Source organism: Homo sapiens, chromosome 5 (assembly GCF_000001405.40).
Source record: "Homo sapiens chromosome 5, GRCh38.p14 Primary Assembly".
NCBI classification, from domain to species: Eukaryota; Metazoa; Chordata; class Mammalia; order Primates; family Hominidae; genus Homo; species Homo sapiens.
This window is the reverse complement of record NC_000005.10, coordinates 147,375,785-147,394,944: the sequence shown is the minus strand read 5'-3', so window position 1 is coordinate 147,394,944 and position 19,160 is coordinate 147,375,785. Positions and strand designations below refer to the sequence as shown.

At 41.2% G+C, this 19,160-nt stretch overlaps 2 protein-coding genes across 8 annotated transcripts in view; one reads left to right on the top strand and one right to left on the bottom strand.

Annotated features, from left to right (window-relative positions):
* Positions 1 to 4,137, top strand: part of DPYSL3 (dihydropyrimidinase like 3) — a 119,261-nt gene extending 115,124 nt beyond the window's left edge. For all 3 annotated transcript variants that reach the window (NM_001197294.2, NM_001387.3, XM_011537574.3), the window contains exon 14: positions 822 to 4,137. In NM_001197294.2, coding sequence (NP_001184223.1) covers positions 822 to 910 — 89 coding nt within the window. In that variant the 3' untranslated portion in view covers positions 911 to 4,137. The remainder of the gene's footprint in view (positions 1 to 821) is intronic.
* STK32A (serine/threonine kinase 32A) overlaps positions 1 to 19,160 on the bottom strand; it is a 166,965-nt gene that overhangs the window by 7,046 nt on the left and 140,759 nt on the right. For 3 of the 5 annotated variants that reach the window (NM_001287740.2, XM_011537576.1, XM_017009214.1), the window contains 3 exons: positions 11,440 to 11,504; positions 10,991 to 11,055; positions 7,090 to 10,570 (listed from right to left, as the gene is read on the bottom strand). In NM_001287740.2, coding sequence (NP_001274669.1) covers positions 10,509 to 10,570; positions 10,991 to 11,055; positions 11,440 to 11,504 — 192 coding nt within the window. In that variant the 3' untranslated portion in view covers positions 7,090 to 10,508. Of the gene's footprint in view, positions 1 to 7,089; positions 11,056 to 11,439; positions 11,505 to 19,160 lie in introns of those variants that run through there. The other 2 variants (XM_011537577.3, NM_001112724.2) reach the window with 2 other exon arrangements.

Below are 19,160 nucleotides of genomic sequence, written 5' to 3'. Positions count from 1 at the left end.
GTAGATTCGCATTCCTATAATGAATAATTTAAATGTGAAGGAAGTAAGATAACAAGAAAAGAAAGACATTTAAAGGTAAAATTACAGCATATGAGGAAAGGGTATGGAATGGGAGAAACAGAAACATGGGAGAAAGAGGTAAGGGAGACCTAGGGGAAGAAAGACAAAGGAAAAGAGTTTAAAGTTTGGAGGTAACTTTGCCAGAGGTCACATTCTGCTAGTCATAAGCAATTTTTTTCAAAGTTTTTGCCTTTTTTTTTTTGTTGTTGTTGTTCTCTGGCTACCTTAATTCTTAAGCTTTTAGAGGCTCCTTTCTGAATAGACCCAAGCACACATTGAAATTTCTTTTTGTGCTGTTGTCACAAAGACCTGACCATCACTGCTTTGCACTGTGGGATCTTGGGCAAGTGACCTAACCTTTCAGAACCTCAGTTATCTCCTCTGTAAAACAGATAAGGGCACCTCTCTCAAACCATGGTGGTGAGGATTAAAGGAGATAATGGTTAAGCACGGAAAACATTGCCTGCCACAATGAGTGTCACGTCTTTGTCATTGTTCTTCTTCCCAGTATTATTATCATGCTCTGGGTCAGATGAAATCTAGATAAGAACTTGGCTTTTCCTACCAGAGGCTAGTTTTCGGGGCCATAAGAAAAGTCTAGAAGACCTGATAGACTGGAATGGAAGTTTCTTGGGAGGTGAGGCCAGCAAGGCACTTCATATCTTGCACTCTTAAAATTAACCCAGTTTCTCTCTTGCCCACATCCCCCTACCCGCCACTCTGTTTTTTTTTTCCCCCTGGGAATTTATTTCCAACTGTAGGCACCCAAGTGGATGAGGGGGTTCGCTCAGCCAGCAAGCGCATCGTGGCGCCCCCAGGCGGCCGTTCTAATATCACATCTCTGAGTTAAGCAAGCCTTCCTCAAAGAGAGGGGCAGAAGCAAGAAGAGATTGTTTTGAAGCCAAAATGGTACACCGATATTTAAGAAGGAAAGCGAATCCAAACGGTTGTGATCTAAAGAATCAATAAGCCTCAAGCCTTATGTTTCTCCAATGTTACGCTCGCTTGCCTAGCTTTACGAATATTGCTTTGTTTTCTGTTTATGCATAGCCTTGATTTGTTTGACTCCCCTCCCCCCATTTACATGCATGCAATCAGACAGGCCACTAAGGTAAAAGAGTCTGCTCTATCATAGTGTTGAGAGCGTGTGTAGTGCTGCATCTTATGACAAGGGGACAGACAAGCTGGGACGTCAGGGAAATGAACAAAAGGGACGCAGGTTATTTGGGGTGAGTGGGTGGTGGGAGCCTGGAGCAAGGTGGAGGGTGCAGAGGGGCTGGGGTAGGGCATGTAGGAGGGAGGTGGGTGGGTCAGGTGAGTGGAAGGGGTGTTGTATATTGTGTTGATGACGTACGTTATTTCCATGGAAGATAGCCGCTGTGGCAGCTGTCACATCACCACAGCTCCCTAGGGTCTGCCGAGAAGGCAGGCAGTCTTTGGGTTCTGTTCTTTGTCACGTCCCCTACAAGTAAATTTTGTTTCTTTGAACGTTTATTAAAATGCCAAGACCCAACCATTTCTTCCACCTGCTTGATTGTGCCAGTGTTTGCTCAGGCCTCTTTCTTAGTGTTGCTTTCAAATCCTTCTCTTTCCTGGGTTGGGAAGGCCAGGCAGGGACAGAGCAAATGACACTTCTCTTCCTCTTGCCCTCCCTGCCTCTTTGGTGCTCTTAAAAGCCAGCAGCTGAGAACATAGCACAGGCCCACGTGGTGAGGGCACCCACAGCTTAAAGACGCTTCCTTCTAAACACGGCGAGGTCACCTCTCACTCTTCTGTCTTTGCAAACCGAGAAGAGTGGCATGCTTCTGGCATCCCAAGTCAGGATTTTAGCTCAGATGAGGCAGAATGAAGGGCCTCTCTTACAGGCAGTTTGTGTTTGATTCTCTCGATCCTGGCACATCCATGATAAATAGGAGTTTTTGAAAGTTGGTTTTATTAGGTGTTCCCTAATTTTTACCGTAATAGGTCATCTCAGCTTATATGAAAGTCAAGTGGGGAACTGGGAAAGCCAAAGTCAGTCTTGAGCAGAGGGAGCACATTTTGTGGACCTGGTTCCACCTTTCCATTCCAAACCACCTGTTTCCCCTTCCATTAGCAGAAACTCTGGGGGAACTTTGTGTCTCAGTCCTAGAATCTCCCCAAGTGAGTGGAAGTGACATGATGCAGTCTTCCTCATGGGGCACCTGAAAGAAATTAGTGTGGGTGCTTCGATCTACCTTGTCTGTCAGAGTTGAATATCTCTTTCCCTATCATGCTGCTTCTGAAAATTCAGTTTTGGAGCAAGTCCTGTGAGCAAGATAAGAATCTATAGAACCAAGATGCTCATTTTCAGAAGAAATATGTTCAACCTGGGATCAGACTTCCATGCTCTGGGGAATCCAAGTGGTAGCACCTGTAACCCTGTGTACTAAGTGCTTTGAAGAGAAGAGCAGGCCTCAGACACCTTTTAATTGCTTAGGAGAAACCATTGTCTCTGACTGCAGGTTTGAATAAGTTGAAGACCAGAGAAAAGTACACACTGGGCTACAAAGGAATTTGGAGATAGCCAAGGAACAGGATTTCCCCTAGCAAGCTACCTTCTGTTCAAATCATGAAAAAAGACTATTTCCCCTTAGAATAGGGAAGCTTGCTATTTTAAAGCTCTTGTAGTGCTTTTCTTTTAAGGGAGATGTAGTAAAAGGGAAAATGTAGCTCTTAGTTTACACTTCAAAGATGTGGGGGTCTTTCAGAGAACTAAGAATAACAGTTTTATGTGCAGAGAGAGTTTGCCAGATCTGAAGCATATACCTCATTGACTAGGCTGTTACTTTGGGATAGGTTGCAGTACCAGCCACAGCCAGCAGATAGAGGAAAAGACACACATAAACTCGCTTCTGAGCGTCCACTTCTGCACTCTCTGCTCTGCTGTTACTCAGCCCCTGAGTCTGACTCATCTCTGCACAACCTCTCTGTGCCATGAAGATAAGTCTTCCATGGCCAAATCGGTCATCCGCACTGCCCTTGGGACTTCCGAAGTGAACCATTCCACCAGAACCTTTGATTCTGCACAAGATTTCCTTGCTCTGGGAACAACCCCCAAATGCCCTTGGGAGGAACAACATGAGCTCAGGAAGCCTCTCTTTCTTCACTTACCATTACTAACTCTCCAAGCATAGAAATCCCTGGGAATTGCGAGAATAACTCCCACTATTTTAAAATTTATATTCAGATTTGTTTCGTTTCATAAGACACATCAAACAGGCCTATACAAAAGGTTTAGGAAAAGAAAACAATGGTGAGTCCCGGCCCTCTTCGAATTCACTGGCACCTCATGCAAGTGTAGGAAGGCACGCTGGATCGTCTATCTGATTCCAAAGCTGTCCTTTGCCATCTCATCCCTTGGCCTGCCCCCCAACCCTGAGGATGCCCCTGCCATCCCCCCAACCTCCTCATATTGCCTCTGAACCCAGATGGCAATCCATCCCGGTTCTCTCTGAGGGCCACGGGCTTGGGTAGTGGAAAGGGTGTTTGGGAAATTGTTAAATCAGTTACCCGTAGTAGAGCTATTTCTTGTACTTCTAAGTTTTCTAGAAGTGGAAGGATTGTAGTCATCCTGAAAATGGGTTTACTTCAAAATCCCTCAGCCTTGTTCTTCACGACTGTCTATACTGAGAGTGTCATGTTTCCACAAAGGGCTGACACCTGAGCCTGGATTTTCACTCATCCCTGAGAAGCCCTTTCCAGTAGGGTGGGCAATTCCCAACTTCCTTGCCACAAGCTTCCCAGGCTTTCTCCCCTGGAAAACTCCAGCTTGAGTCCCAGATACACTCATGGGCTGCCCTGGGCAGCCAGCATTCATTGTAAGTTCCCTCTTTGAAAACTGGTGTGTGGGTGTTCAGTTCTGTGTCTGGTGGGTATGGACAGACAGTAATCTCCTGTGATCTGTGCTAGCTGTGAGGCAGCTCTGGAACGTGAAGAGCTGTTTGGTTTGAACCGTGAACAAAACTGTGTTTTGAGTTTAGCTGACATTAAAGAAAAAAGTTCATCACGTGACTGTTAATGTAAACCTGGTTATTAAAATAACTATGAAATTACCAACATTGTTCTCCAGTCTTCTTCTTTGTGTGATGTGCATTTTCACCTATAATATTAAAATTGCCCAGTAGAACTGAAAGGGTTAGTAAGAGGGGCAGGCAGATCTGCTGATAACAGAGTTGTCTGGAGAAAAATTGGGGGCTTCTATTTTTGAAATTGAGTTGTTAGTTTTGACCACCAAGCTTGATGGCCATTTTGAAACTTTGGAGAATGAGTAAGTTTTTTTCTTCTGTGGATCATCAAATTTAGTATTATATGCCATTTGGGATAAATCTAGCTAAGTCCAGAACAGAGCCATAAAGCTTTTTGTTTTGGGTTTTTTTTTTTTTTTTGGTCTTTCCCCTAAAGCCTTGCTATTTGATTGTTTTGGAAGCATTTTCTGCTTCTTTTTAATAGCCTAGACTTGAAGAAAAACTCAAATTACACCCATACCAAAGTATATTCTTTATCAAATGGATCCCAAGGAGTAAAATCAGTGTACGGAAGCATTATTTGCTATATCTGCTCTTCTTAGAGCTTTCAGGTACATATCGGCAACTTGAAGACTCTGAGAAATCCCGTGATAAAGGTCTTTCAAAGTTTGCCTAATTCAGGGTTCTCAAGCTTTTGACTACTGAACCCTTCTATCCCATCCCATCTTTTAGCATCCCACCAAACCTATTATACTACACCCTTTTGAGGGAAACACTGCTGAATCCAGTTGTAATTTGTTGTGCAGATCATATTTTCATTGCAAAAGTTAAACTAGTTTACCAGGGGGAAATTGGAAAGTGGAATTTTAAAGTCTGGTGCAACTATAAAGTTCAGTCAGGCAGACTCAAGTGTAGTTGGATCTAAGTGCTAGACCCTGACATCAGAGCGTTGCTTCTTTCCACTTCGGCCCTGTGTGCCTTCAGTAAGTGCTTCCTTCTTAGGAAAGCTCTTTTTTTATTATTTTATTTGAGATGAGTGTCCCTCTGTTGCCCAGGCTGGAGTGCAGTGGCACCATCTCAGCTCACTACAACCTCCACTTCCTGGGTTGAAGCGATTCTCCTGTCTCAGTCTCCTGAGTAGCTGGGACTACAGGCACGCGCCACCACAACCCGGCTAATTTTTTGTATTTTCAGTAGAGACAGGGTTTCACCATGTTGGCCAGGCTGGTCTTGAACTCCTGACCTCAAGTAATCCACCCGCCTCGGCCTCTCAAAGTGCTGGGATTACACCTGGCCAGGAAAGCTCTTTTTATGTGGGACAAAGTTGGTTGTCAGCATCTCCAGGTTTTCATTTCACCTGCTTAGTAACCTCAGAAGAGGGAGAGAGTCCCTCAATAGTTCCCGCTAAAAAGACTGATTCAGTCTGGCTTGGGGCATGTACTCATCATTGACCTAGTCACTGTGGCCAGAAGAGCACGTGGGACCAATTGGCCACACCGGATAACATACCTGGCCCCTGAGCCACCTGAACCACATGGACTCCCAATAACTCCACAAAGAAAATCAATTTGTGATAACTGAAGAGGGATGGATGCAAGGAAGGCAAAAAGAGCCGTGGCTGTGGCACCATTCGCAAGCTTGCAGGGCATGAATGTTTTGCCTGGTGATGTGGAAGTTGGGACGGGTGGGGAGGAGATGGGATACCAGGGGATGGCCATTTCTGATTAATTGCTTTTATATGTGATGACCCCCTGTTGGTCTGATAGAACAATGCCCTTGATACAGGAGCATAGAGTGATTATACCTTTTAACACAGAAGCTCAGAATCCCAGTCACAAGCTACTCTAAGTGCATAAAGAATTAATTATTTTACAGTTGAAGTTCGAGTTTTGATGTTTAATAAGCTTTGGTTTATAGCCCCATTTTATGGCTCTAACTCAGGATTGGTGAAGTGCCTCTCCCTGCTCATGACCGAGGCAGCAGCTGAGCTCTGTTTAGGATTTGAGTGGGTTTAAAGGCAATAGTCAGCACTTAAACTCAGGATGCAGCAGTCTGAAAGGCATGAAGTGGTTTTCTTCTTAAATGGTGAAAGATACACATTGACTTTCACATCTCTTCCTTCAGGGTGGAGCTGTTCAGTGGCTGAGTCACGTTGACCAGGTGGGGAATGAGAATGCTGAGTAGGAGACTAAAAAGGGCCCTCTGGTTCCAAATAACTTTCTGGAATCAGCTCTTCTACCACCAACCCATCACAAAGGAGACCCCGACCATGAGCAGGAGATGGGGGATAAAAAGGCCAAAGTAACCTGAGGAAATGAGATCACATGCTTAAGGCTGGTACTTTTCAGAATCTGAAGAGTTCTAGATCCTGCCCTTTGCTCAGATGGCTGCTAAGCACACAGCAGGACACTTAACATGACCTGGACAACAGGGTACTTCGCATGCAGAACTTCGGAGGCCACAAAACTTACAACAGCCTACTATTTCAGGACAAGCCCATGGAGCCAGCAGCTTGCTGGCTGCCCACCCACTGTGGGTCTGAGAGGTGGTGACAGTGCCCTTTGTTCTCTCCTAAAGCAGAGGTTGCTTTTAGCTGCAAGAGTTCAGAGTTGCCTGTTAACTTTCTGTCCCAGGTGATGGACCTTAGAACTTCTGCCTGCTGCTTTGGTATATGGAATGGGGCACGGATGTTGAGGGGTAGGAAGGCAGAGTGCTAAAGAAAGAGGTGCATAGGCTGCCCATGGACTTAGGGACATAGTGAAAGGCAGAAACTGGAATTCTGGGCTGTGTTCCCTGAAATGCGACTACTAGAGAGGTAAGGATTTTTAGTTTTTATACATGTGGGTCAAGTAAGCTATACTGCATTCCATAGTTGCAGAACATCATCTCTGTCACAGAATATTATTTCTGGTAAGGGACATTCCTCACAATAGGAAATAGACATAAGAACGGGTTACTTTGGGCACCCGCAATGCTATCTCTGGAGAAAACAATTACACACACACACATACACACACACAGCTGACAAAGAAGGGTCAGTGGCTCATTGTTTACAGAAGACATTTTAATACACATAGGCACATTTATATTATATATGCTACAGCTCAACAGAAGCACTTGTTTCCCATTCGAGGGCTGCCAGATCAGCTGCCTGTTCACAACAGCACAGATAAGTGAAGTTTGAAATTTTAATATCAGTGTTTAATATCAGTCAGACACACTGAATTTGTAATAAACAGGAATCACAGACAGATAGCAGGAAACAGGATTTTATGTAGACAATACAGGGACAACTGGGTACAGAAACAAGCTTGAAGTGCTTTTTGTGCCTTTTCATTCTGCTTTTGAAGAGCTAAAGCCTTAGCATTACTGCCTCAGCCACAAGCAGCAACACTGGTCCCTACTAGCTACATTAATACTCTTTCTTCCTACTTATTCTTCCATCCAATCTACAAAAGCTATGATAATAGAACATCTAGTGGTTTCTGGTTGAAACTTTCCTATCAGAAGAAGCCTAGCTACTAATTAATTAGATTACTGTAATTAATTTAGCAATGCTCTGTGCTGGTTGCTGTTCATTCCTGCCCTAGCAATGACCTCAGGCAAAACCAGTGCCACCATGGCAGTGGGTTAGCCATTAGCAGACGACTTCCTGGAATTAGGGTTGTGGCATAAGTTGCCGGGTTTGACTGCCCTACGCATCTACTCGAGGTCACTGAGGGTGTACTGGAGGTGGGCAGCTCTGTCACAGTGCAAGAGCCTTATAGCTGGGATGCTCTTGGACTTCAAAACCTGCTCAGACTTTGCAGATGCTCCATACAGGCAAGGGAAGCACTGGGAGAAAAACATTCAAGAATACCAGGCCAAAGGATTTAATAGTCATCTTGTTTTCTAAAAATCACAGCTCTGAGCCTCGGTTGTCACAACTCCGGAAGAGACATGTTCCACCTAGTGGGATATTAACGTTTAGCCCAAGTTATAGAATAAAACCAAAGGATCTGATGTCAACAACTAGCAATGACCACAAAGATTTAGGAAAAGTTTAAATTTTGGAAAAGTTTTTTGTTCTCATGTTTAAAATGCACAGTGGTGGGAGGTGATTACAATCAGCACTGTCAGATACCATGGTTTTGCTTTTCAAACTTGAAATACACTGTGTGTCATTCACCTGGCTAGCACTAGAAATCCATCTTACTCTCTGAGCCTGTGCTCTCTCATCTGTGCATCCATGGTTCCCAAAAGCCCACAGAGGTGCTTCAGTCACAGAAGCAGCTCACTGGAAATAAAACTAGGGATTCAGCCTACAGAGATTGTATCGGGTTCCCATCCCATCATAAATGTATACGTGTGAAATGGCACTATGGCTTAACTCTCATCACAGTGGAGATCCTAATGGTTCCATGGCTCTTTGGTAAGTGTAATTACAGAAAAATTTCCCAAAGCCTCTTCTTGGGAAGGATGCAAACAAGGTTGCAGCGAGAGGAGGAACCTGGTTACTTAGGGAGGTGAGTCCACAGCACATAAAGGCTTGAATCAAAACAAATGAAGGATAGAAGTAAACATGCAAGTAGTCCCTGACACTCGTGGGGTTACCAGACTGCAGCAGAATCTGGTCACTTTCTTATTCTTGCTCTTTCCAACACATCCCCTTCTCTGAAATCGAGTCAGGGCAATTGCTTCAAGTTTATAGTGTTTGGAGAAAAACAGAATAGCACAGACAAATGATGTGGGAACTGTAGGGAAAAGGAATCAAACAAACAACAAAAGAGCTGGCTTTTAATTATGTAACAATAATATGGTTGCTATTAGAGAAGCACTATTTCACAGCTCTGCCCGAAACTCTGGGCCTATTAGCTCAGTGAAGAGAAAACTGTGAATGCCAAGCTGAAGTTTAGCTCTGGCTTTCTACACATACTTGGTTGCCCCAGTGTAACCTCTTTATGGAAAAGCCCTGCATAAAAGACAGCCATCTCTGTTTCTTCGGTCCATTTTCACTTGCCTGGCTTCCCAAATGGGCATCAGTCAGGTCTTCGCAGTTGCCAGCTTACTGCCATCTTGGTGTGACACATGCTCTCCATAAGTAAGGACAGGTTTAGGTACTCTGAGTAGCCAAGAGGTGAAAACAATCCCCCACCAAGCCTGTTCACTTCTGGACCCTACCCAGGGGCATAGGGGTTGCCAAAAATAGTTCTTCTGTAAAGATCTGTGTATCTGTACAGTGGAGTTACATCATATGCACGTCTCACTTAGGTGAATTAAACTTTGTGGCAAATCAATAAATAAAATATAAAGAAAAAGAGTGAGACATCAGTGATATTTTAAATAAGTAGGGAATTCTGCCTGCCATTCTTGTAGTAAGCACAAGGGAGAAGGGAGACATGATACCACTGTTCCCTTAGTCTCCATGAACTTGCCTGTCTTGGATGTGTGGGCATTCCACTGTTCTAAGAGTAATTCTAAGGCCAGGTTTGGTGGCTCACGCCTGTAATCCCAGCACTTTGGGAGGCCAAGGTGGGCGGATCACTTGAGACCAGGAGTTTGAAACCAACCTGGCCAGCTTAGCAAAATCCTATCTCTACTAAAAATACAAAAAATTAGCTACACATGGTGGCACACACATGCGATCCCAGCTACTTAGGAGGCTGAGACACAAGAATCACTTGAACCCGGGAGGCAGATGTAGTGAGCAGAGATCATGCCACTGCACTCCAGCCTGGGTGACAGAGTGAGACTCTGCCTGAAAAGAAAAAAAAGAGTAATTCTAGTCTATAAAAACAAGTATAATTTGTTCAACATTTTAGCTCATCTGGTATTAGCCAAAATGAGACCAAAAATAAAAATAACTAAGTCAAAACAAAACAAAAGCAATGGCTTGTTTCATTAGTGAAAGGTGACACTGTATTGGGCTTTACTGAGAAAAGATACTTCCCATATACTTTATGGGTAATTTAAGGGGTTTTTCAACGGTAAATTTTACTATCTTCTAAATTCATTTCTAACTTAGACAATAAACCCCATATAAGATGCAACTTTTCTGAACTGCAAGGTGGACATACTTTCAGTGTGATGACATTCTTTTCTGATCCTCTCCAGATACAGGTCTCTGCTAATCTTCAGAGGACAATTAGCCCTCAAGGAACATGCTTCTTGGAAGGAGTGGTGGGCTAATATTTAGCAATTCACTTGTTAGGAGGGAAAAAACGAGCATTTACCAGTTTCCGTGGTGTAAATGCTCCCATTATTACCAATTTCAAGTTACCACTTTCACATTGTTGAAGAGGGAGCTGGGAAGTGGTGTGCACAGCAGGCTCCTGCCAGCTGAGATAAGCGGATCTAATGCTGATTCACGCATATCACTGGAAGGCCCTCATCCATCTCTGTTACTTTTAATCTGATTCCATTCATGCCTCCCTGATAGAATTCCTTATCTTTATCCAAGTAGCCTGGGGCATTCTGACCACTTTATGAAACTTTCGAGGTCTGAAAAGTCTCACTGAGTCCTGTGTCCATTTGTCCATTTGTCACTGCATAATTAGAAGGAGTGGAAAAATAAATCTATATTCATATATTAATTTTAAAATAAAAATAAAGGCGGTTTAGAATAACAACTATAGCACTAAAAAGGCAGGGTATGGCTCGTCTAGTATAACCCTCTCATTTTAGATAAATAAAGTAAAGCACAGAAAGTGGCTAAGTGACTTGCTCTAGATCACACAGTTGATTGATGTGAAATGACATCCCAGGAGCTCAGGCCCAGGACCCTTCACTGTGTTGTGCTGCCTTTTTTGAAATATATTCATTCACATTTTCTAAGTCATGGTGTGTGGAGTGGCAAGAACTACTGTCAGCTTTTCTTGACATATGTAATTAGAAGTTTCTGGCATGAGATTGTCCCAAGAAGAAGACATGAGGCCTTTACAAGTTGTTATTCTGACCATCCTCACCTTGTGGGTCTTTGGTTTGTTCCAAGGCTAGATTTGGTTGTCTTTTGTTAAAGTCCCTGTTTACTCTTAAAAAGAAAAGAAAAAAAAAGATGTTTTATTCTTTGAAAAATAAAATGAAAGGTTTAAGCTTTTGAAATAATATTAAGCCCAATAATTTATAAATAAGCATGAGCCAAGGAAATCTTTTAAAAGGCTTTGATTTTTAAGTGTTTAAATCCTAATTCCTCTTCCCTTCTCACAAACAAAAACTTGATGCTAGGCTAATTTATCAATTAAAAAATGTTAAATACCTTACAAAAAAGGTTTCTACATTTTCTATAATAGATTGCATCATTTTCCCAATTAGAAAATAATTTTTAAAATGTTAAAAATATATTTTCTCTGCAAGTAAAGTCTGGCTGAAACATGCCACCATTTCTGGGGCTGTTGTTCTCCCAGGAATTACTTACTTTTCTCTGTTGAAAATTATGAACTCCTTCTGGACAGAGTCAAGGTGCTCTTGAAGAAGACATGTCTTCCAGGTGAACGTAGAAAAAAAATAGAGGTATAGTTAGCAGACAAATGAGAATCTTCAAACAGCCAATAACCTGGTGACAGTCTATTCAATGAATAGCCCCAAATTGAGAAGTAAGTAGTATCTTCAAAATGGATGCTATGTGAAGAAGATTCCGGGAAGCTGGCAAAACAGGAAGCACCAGGAATCTGTCTCCCCTCCTAGACAGCGATTGCACTGGCAGAATCTGTCTAATGTCACTATTTTAGAACTCTGGAGTCTATTGAAAGCTTGCAACTTTCAGGGAAGGCTTGGGTGGCAAAGCGCAGTTAATTATGACCAACTTAAGCTCTTAGCACAGCAGCAGCTACCCATCCCTCATCCTCCAGCCCCATGGGAGGGAGCTGAGCACACACATGTTCCGGAGCAGTTTGCACACAGCCTGTGAGAGTCAGGGTGGAAAGCAAGAACTGTGTTCTCCAAATTCTGAGGATCTGTGCTTCCGACACTGCTGCTTCTGATCACAGAGGTGCAAACAAAATGCTTGATGGCCATTGTTGTTGCACCTCCCCCACAATGTTGCCAGCCACTCTCCCTCAGGCTGAAGTGACTTCTGGGAGAATTAAAGGGCCAGCACCTTTTCACCCTCTTCATTTTTCTCCTTTCCTCCTTTTGGGAGCCACACGTGAAAGGCTGGGACATTCAAAAACAACTGCATGTGTAGGGAAAATTAGAAAGTGACTGCACATGACCAGGGAAGGGTGCAGGCTCAGAAAAGACCTAAGAAGATCTTATGTTTACACCTCAGCTGATCCTTGGCATGGAGACAGCTTACAACAATAATAAAAAATAAAAATAAAAACAATAACAAAAAACAGCAAACCCTGGGGATGGGAGAAATCTGATTTTCCTAGATTTATCACATTATTAGATTCAAGTGTCCAATACAAAAAATAACAAGGCATGCCAGGAAATAGAGAAGTATGGCTCATTCACAGTAAAAAACATAAACCAAAAAACCTATCCCTTAAAAAGACCTAACAGTAGATCTACTAGATAAAGACATCAAAACAACTATCTTAAAGATGCTCAAAGAGCTAAAGGAAGATATAGAGAAAATCAAGAAAATGATGTGCAAACAAAACTAAAGTATTAATAAAAATATAGAAAACCTAAAAAGAAACTAAAAAGGAATTCTTGAGCTGAAAAGTGCAATAACTAAAATTTAAAAATTTGCTACAGGGTTTCAACGGCAAAATTGAGCAGGCAAGGAAGGAATCAGTATCAAACTTGATGACAGGACAGTGGAAATTACTGAGTCTGAGGAACAGAAAGAAAAAAGATTGAAGAATAATGAACAGAGCCTATAGCAAGCTTGTCCAACCCACAGCCCATGGGCCACATGTGCCTCAGGATGGCTTTGAATGTGGCCCAACACAAATTTGTAAACTTTCTTAAAACATTAGGAGATTTTTTTGAGGGTGATTTTTCTTTAGCTCATCAGCTATCGTTAGTGTTAGTGTATTTTATGTGTGGCCTAAGACAATTCCTCTTCTTCCAACGTGGCCCAGGGAAGCCAAAAGATTGGACATCCCTGGCCTACAGAATGTATGGAACACCATCAAGCAAACCAGTGTACGTACTGTGGAAGTCCCAGGAGGAGAAGAGAGAGAAAAAGGAAAACAGAATACTTAAAGAAATCATAGCTGAAAGGCATGAGCCCCCAAATCCAAAAAGGCACAGTGTATCCCAAGTAAGATGAATTCAAAAAGACCCACATTGACACATAATATAATCAAACTTTCCTTTTTTTTTTTTTCTGACAGACTTTTGCTCTGTTGCCCAGACTGGAGTGAAGTGGCATGCTCTCAGCTCACTGCAACCTCCTCCTCTTGGGTTCAAGAGATTCTCTTGCCTTAGCCACCCAAGTAGCTGGGATTACAGGTGTGCACCACTACACTTAGCTAATTTTTGAATTTTAAGTAGAGGCAGGGTTTCATCATGTTGGCCAGGCTGATCTCAAACTCCTGGCCTCAAGTGATCCGCCTGCCTCAGCCTCCCAAAGTGCTGGGATTACAGGTGTGAGCCACCATGTCCAGCCAATATAAGCAAACTTTCTAAAGCCAAAGACAAGGAGAGAATCTTGAAAGCAGCAAGAGAGAAAAAATTTGTCAAGTACATCATAAGATGACGGGCAGATTTCTTATCAGAAACTTTGGAGGCCAGAAGGCAGTGGGCTGATATATTCAAAGTGCTAAAAGAAAAAAACCTATCAACCAAGGGTCCTCTATCTGGCAGAACTGTTCTTGAAAAGTGAGAGAGAAACTAAGATGTTTCCAGATAAAAGTGGAGGGAGTTTATTACCACTAGAACTTCCCTGTAAGAAATGCTCAAAGGAGTCCTGCAAGGTGAAATGAAAGGACACGAGACAGTAACTTGAAACTATACGGAGAAATAAAGCTCTCGGTACGTGTAAATACATCGGACAATCACGAAAGCCAAGATTATTGTAATAATAATTTGTAACTCCTTATATTTGTATAAGAGGCTAATACATATTTAAAAAACAACAATTAATCTAAAAGCTAGTATTATTGTAAATGTAGCTTGGAGGTTCTACCTGGATTTTGTGAATAGCCTAAAAATATCTCTCTATACTGAATCCTGATAGAATGTTCCCCTCAACAATGGTACTGGAGTTGATTAAGTATCTTTCTCTTTTAGTCAGCAGAGCCTTCTTTATTTGTGACTTTCTTGCAGACATGCAAAGCATTTGCTTTGACACTGCACTGTCCAGCTTTCAACATCTATTGATGACTTTTTCATCAAAATGAGAAAATTTAGCCTCAAAAAAAGATGATTACCAGTCCCAGGACAGAATTAGACCCAGATCAAATGTTTTAAAATTCTGCAACAAAATACTTCCAAATTTCTTCTGATGGAAAATATTCTTTAAAAAAAATCATTCAGTCATTTATTATTTTTTTTTAACCTAGGAATTAGAATATGCTAAGTTCTCCAGTACTGGAGAGTTTTCTTTCAGAGTGCCTGTTTAGGTGACAGGAGAGGAAACAATACAAAGCACAGAAGAGAGATGGGGAACAAGACAAAGGAGAAGACACAGTTCTGCTGTATTTCACTCTTACTTGCAAACGGAAGCATTTGTAATCCTGAGGGTTTCCAGTATCGGTCACAGGGGACAGGCAGCTACAGGATAAACATAATCTGATAAAAGCTCTTTGGAGCAACACTTTTACCCCAAGATTTTAGGAAAAATAATTTTTAGCATTAAAAATCAAGGTTATAATTGAGTGAAATGCAAAATCCACATGGATTTTTTTTCCCTCTACTATGTAACTATTTTATTTAAACAAAGATATGAAATACATACTTGCAGATGACCTTTTAGTGTGACACTTCAGACCCCATTACCCTTAAAGGGTTCATGTTCAACTTGTTCTTTTTCCTCTGCTTTAGGTGGAGAAGTTTAAGAAGTGTGGCCAAATGGATACATCAACAGGAGTAGCCATAAAGAGAATATGAAATGAGGGGTAAGAAAAAAGAATGGAGGGACTAATGGGTCATACATGACTTAGAAGGGAAATGATCGCTTAAAATCTTAGGACTCACATATCAAGGATGAGCAGAGCAAACACTGATTAAATTATCATAGCTGGAGACGGCATCTGAAATATTGGAAGGGGTTAGAGCAGGTGGAAATCTCAGAAGGAGAACAAGAGGACTTAGGGAATTTGCCTCAATTGTCAGACAGACTGGGTGGCATGGCAGTCTGTTGATTCTATACTTTAAAGATGTTGAGCAGAGCAAGATAAAGTGGAGGATATTCTGGGGGGAAAGAAACAATAGAGGCATCTGACATGAGCATAAAAAGAGCCAAGGAAAAGAAAGGCTAGGAGTCAGGAAGTGCAATGGAAAGTAAAGCATCACAACAGCTAACATTCTGTGGAGCACTTTACATGCACTAATTTACTCAGAACAAGCCTATGAACTTGGTACACATACCAACTCCATCTATAAATGAGGAAACTGAGACACCCGAAAAATGCAAAACTTTAGTTATGTTCTTCTAGTTTATCACATCCTAGATTCTATAACAGTGTATCTCAATCATGGTTGCACACATAGAATCACCTGAAGTAAGTTTTTAAAATACTGAAACCCAGGATATAAAATGAATGTGCAAAGATTGCTAGCATTCCTATACACCAACAACAGGCAAGCAGAGAGACAAATCATGAATGAACTCCCATTCACAACTGCTACAAAACAATAAAACACCTAGGAATATAGCTAACAAGGGAAATGAAGGACCTCTTCAAGGAGAAATACAAACCACTGCTCAAGGAAATCAGAGAGGACACAAACAAATGGAAAAACATTCCAGGTTCCCAGATAGAATCAATATCATAAAAATGGCCATACTGCCTAAAGTAATTTATAGATTCAATGCTATTCCCATTAAATGACTGTTGGCATTCTTCACAGAATTAGAAAAAAAAACTATTTTCAAATGTATATGGAACCAAATAAGGGCTTGAATAGTCAAGACAATCCTAAGCAAAAAAAAAAAAAAAAAAAAAAAAAAAAAAAAAAAAAAAAAGACTGGAGGCATTATTACACTACTACACTACCTGACTTCAAACTATACTACAAAGCTACAGTAACCAAAACAGCATGGTACTGGTACAACGACAGACGCATAGACCAATTAAACAGAATAGAGAACTCAGAGAGCTCAGAATAGAGAGCTCCTTTTCCAGGCTTGTGGCTTGATTGGAATTCCCTTGCCAACACTTGACTCTTTTCTAATGTGGTACCTAAACAGTGATGAATTTGGCTCTAGAGTAACAAGGTGACTCTGAGCTACACACAGTGGGGCAGAAATGGGGCTAAGCTATAGCTAATATGATACTGATATGGTGTATGTTCTTGTTAGATTTTGCTGAAGGAATGCCTTCAGTGAATGGCTCTAGATAAGACTAAAGGCAGGGAGGATGAGTAATGTCACAAGCCTTTTGAACACAGCATGGGTAATTCCTATGATCAGAAACCACCTGTCATTTTATTTCCTCTGTAACATTAAGATCTGCCTGTGCCCTGAGATGTGCCAGCCTTGAAATGCTCTTGTCCTTTCCTGTATGCTCACCTACCTCTGCTCAATCTGGAGGAACCAGATCAAATGTTGCCTCCTCTGGAAAGCCTATCCTAACCCTTCACTCAGGTCCAGTGAGCAATTCCCACAGCACTTTGTGTATCTAACCATAGCATTAACCACCTAGTCAGAAATATTTCCTAACAAAGCAGGAATTTTACAGTCATCTGAATAAATGAATGAATGAATGAACGAGCATGTTAATAATATAATAAGGTAAGATTGACTCATGTTTTAAAAGCCTTAATGTAAAAGAGAGAAAATAGAGTGAAGAATCAGAAAAATAGTTCATAATCTTTCTGATTCTTCTTGGAAGAAAGACTATTCTTTGTTTTGAAGCAAAGTACCTTTTATTTTTGAACCTGGGGTACAAGATTAGAAGAATCTAGAGAAAAATGCTGATGTAAGCAGTTCCAAGCCCCATCTCTGAACAGAAACATCAAAAAAACAAGCAGATACTGTCAAAACCAACTTTGTCAAAACTCCGGAAAGCACTCAAAGGTTTACTGGAACCAAGTGAACACTAAATTAAGAAAAGAAAAACAACTTAAAAATGCTCTTGGTGTTAAATCTCAGTCAAAACATTAGCTGAGCACAGGCTAAAGTAACAGAAACTTCAGTGATGACACAACAAAGCAGACAATCTCTGCAAACATTGTTTGGAGAAGTCGCTAAACAATGGATAACTACAGCCTTCAACAATCAAAAAATAGCAAACCATGAAGAAAGGAGGAACCTGATTTCCAGAGTTACCACATTATCATATTTAAATGTCGAGTTTTCAATAGCAACAGAAAAAAAATCACAAGGCACACAAAGAAACAGGAAAATATTGCCATTCAAAGACTTAAAATCAACAGATAGAAATTGTCCTGAGGAAGCTCAAACATTGAGCTTTCTAGAGTGAGATTTTAAAACAACCGTCTTGAATATGCTCAGAGTTAAAGGAAACCATGGAAGGAAACCACAAAACAGGTATCAAAAAATTTAAAAAGACTGAAATAATTGGAATGAAGGTAGGAATCAATAACAGAAGGAAAACTGGAAAATTCACAAAAATGTGGAAATTAAACAACAAACTCTTAAAAAAAGAGTCAAAAAGAGAAATCACATGAGATATCAGAATATACTTAGAGATGAATTAAAAACAAACCACAGCATCCCAAAACTTATGGGATAGGTGAAGGCAGTGCTCAGAAGGAACTTTATAGCTATAAACACCAATATTAAAAAAGAAGAAACATCTTAAGTCAAAAGCCTAACTGAACACCTTGCTAATATGTTAAGGATTTTTGCATCTATATTCATAACAGATGTCAGTTTGTAATTATCATTTTTTGTGATGTCTTTGTCCAGTTTGGTATCAGGGTAATGCTGGCTTCGTAGAATGACTAAGGGAGAAACTATTTGCAGTTCACATATTTGATAAGGGTCCAATATCCAGAATATGTAAAAAACATCCTATAATTCAACAACAGAAATGACAAGGTGATATTTAAGGTATAAAGAATGAGAGGAAGCCCCCTATGTGAAGATGAAAGGGAAGACCATTCTAGGAACAGGGAAGAGCAAGGGCAAAGGCCTTGAAGAAGAACAAAAGGTTCAGTGCTTGAGAGTGAGACACTTGCAGGGCCTGTGAGGTTGGAGGGTTTTAAGTGAGGGTCAGAGTGGGATAGTACAAGGATGTGGCAGGAAAGATGGGCAGATCATGTTGAGCATGGTACGTATGGTCAAAAGTTATTCCTAAATTGCTCAGTTATTTCTAAAACTTTAAAAACTTGTAATAAAAAGGATCTCTTGGTTTTTATCACATGTTAGGTCCTGTTATCAGAGAGGCCTGTATCCACCTTGAGCCAAGTTCTGCTAGGTCAGGGGAAGGAGCAAGTCTGGAGAAGCGGGTTGGTTATGACATGATCATGAGGAACAGACCATTGGGAAGAAGACAGTTCAGAGACAAGCAATATGCAAGACGGGTTAGCAGCACAGCTAAGCATTCCTTGGAGGGTCCTAGAAAATATTTCCTGAAGGGAATCTGACGAGAAGCCAGTTCTGTGATCAAACAGGACAGAGATGTGAACGTTGGTTAATTGTCCATTGAAATATATAGTGGCCCCTGACTACTAGAGAAATTAAGGAGATGGAGGATACTTATTTGTTTGCAGAGCCATCTTTACCACAAGACTACACAATCTTTGAGAAAAGGGACAGCACTGAGTATAGAAATTATATCTCAATCATTTCTCACTCCAGTCTTTAGCACAGGACCTGGCAGATCATAGCTACTAAAAAAAAGTAGCCTAAATGAATGGATGGAGGGAGGCAGGGATTGATGGAGGAATGGAAATGGTCGTGTGGATAGATAGATGACCTTTAGAGGCAAAGTAACTTTATTACTTCATCATCATTATAATTCATAGAGCCACATGTGAGTATAAAATCCTACTGAGTGTTTGCAAGTTACTTCACTGAAATCTGAGCTCTGACTCTGACAGAGAATAATATAC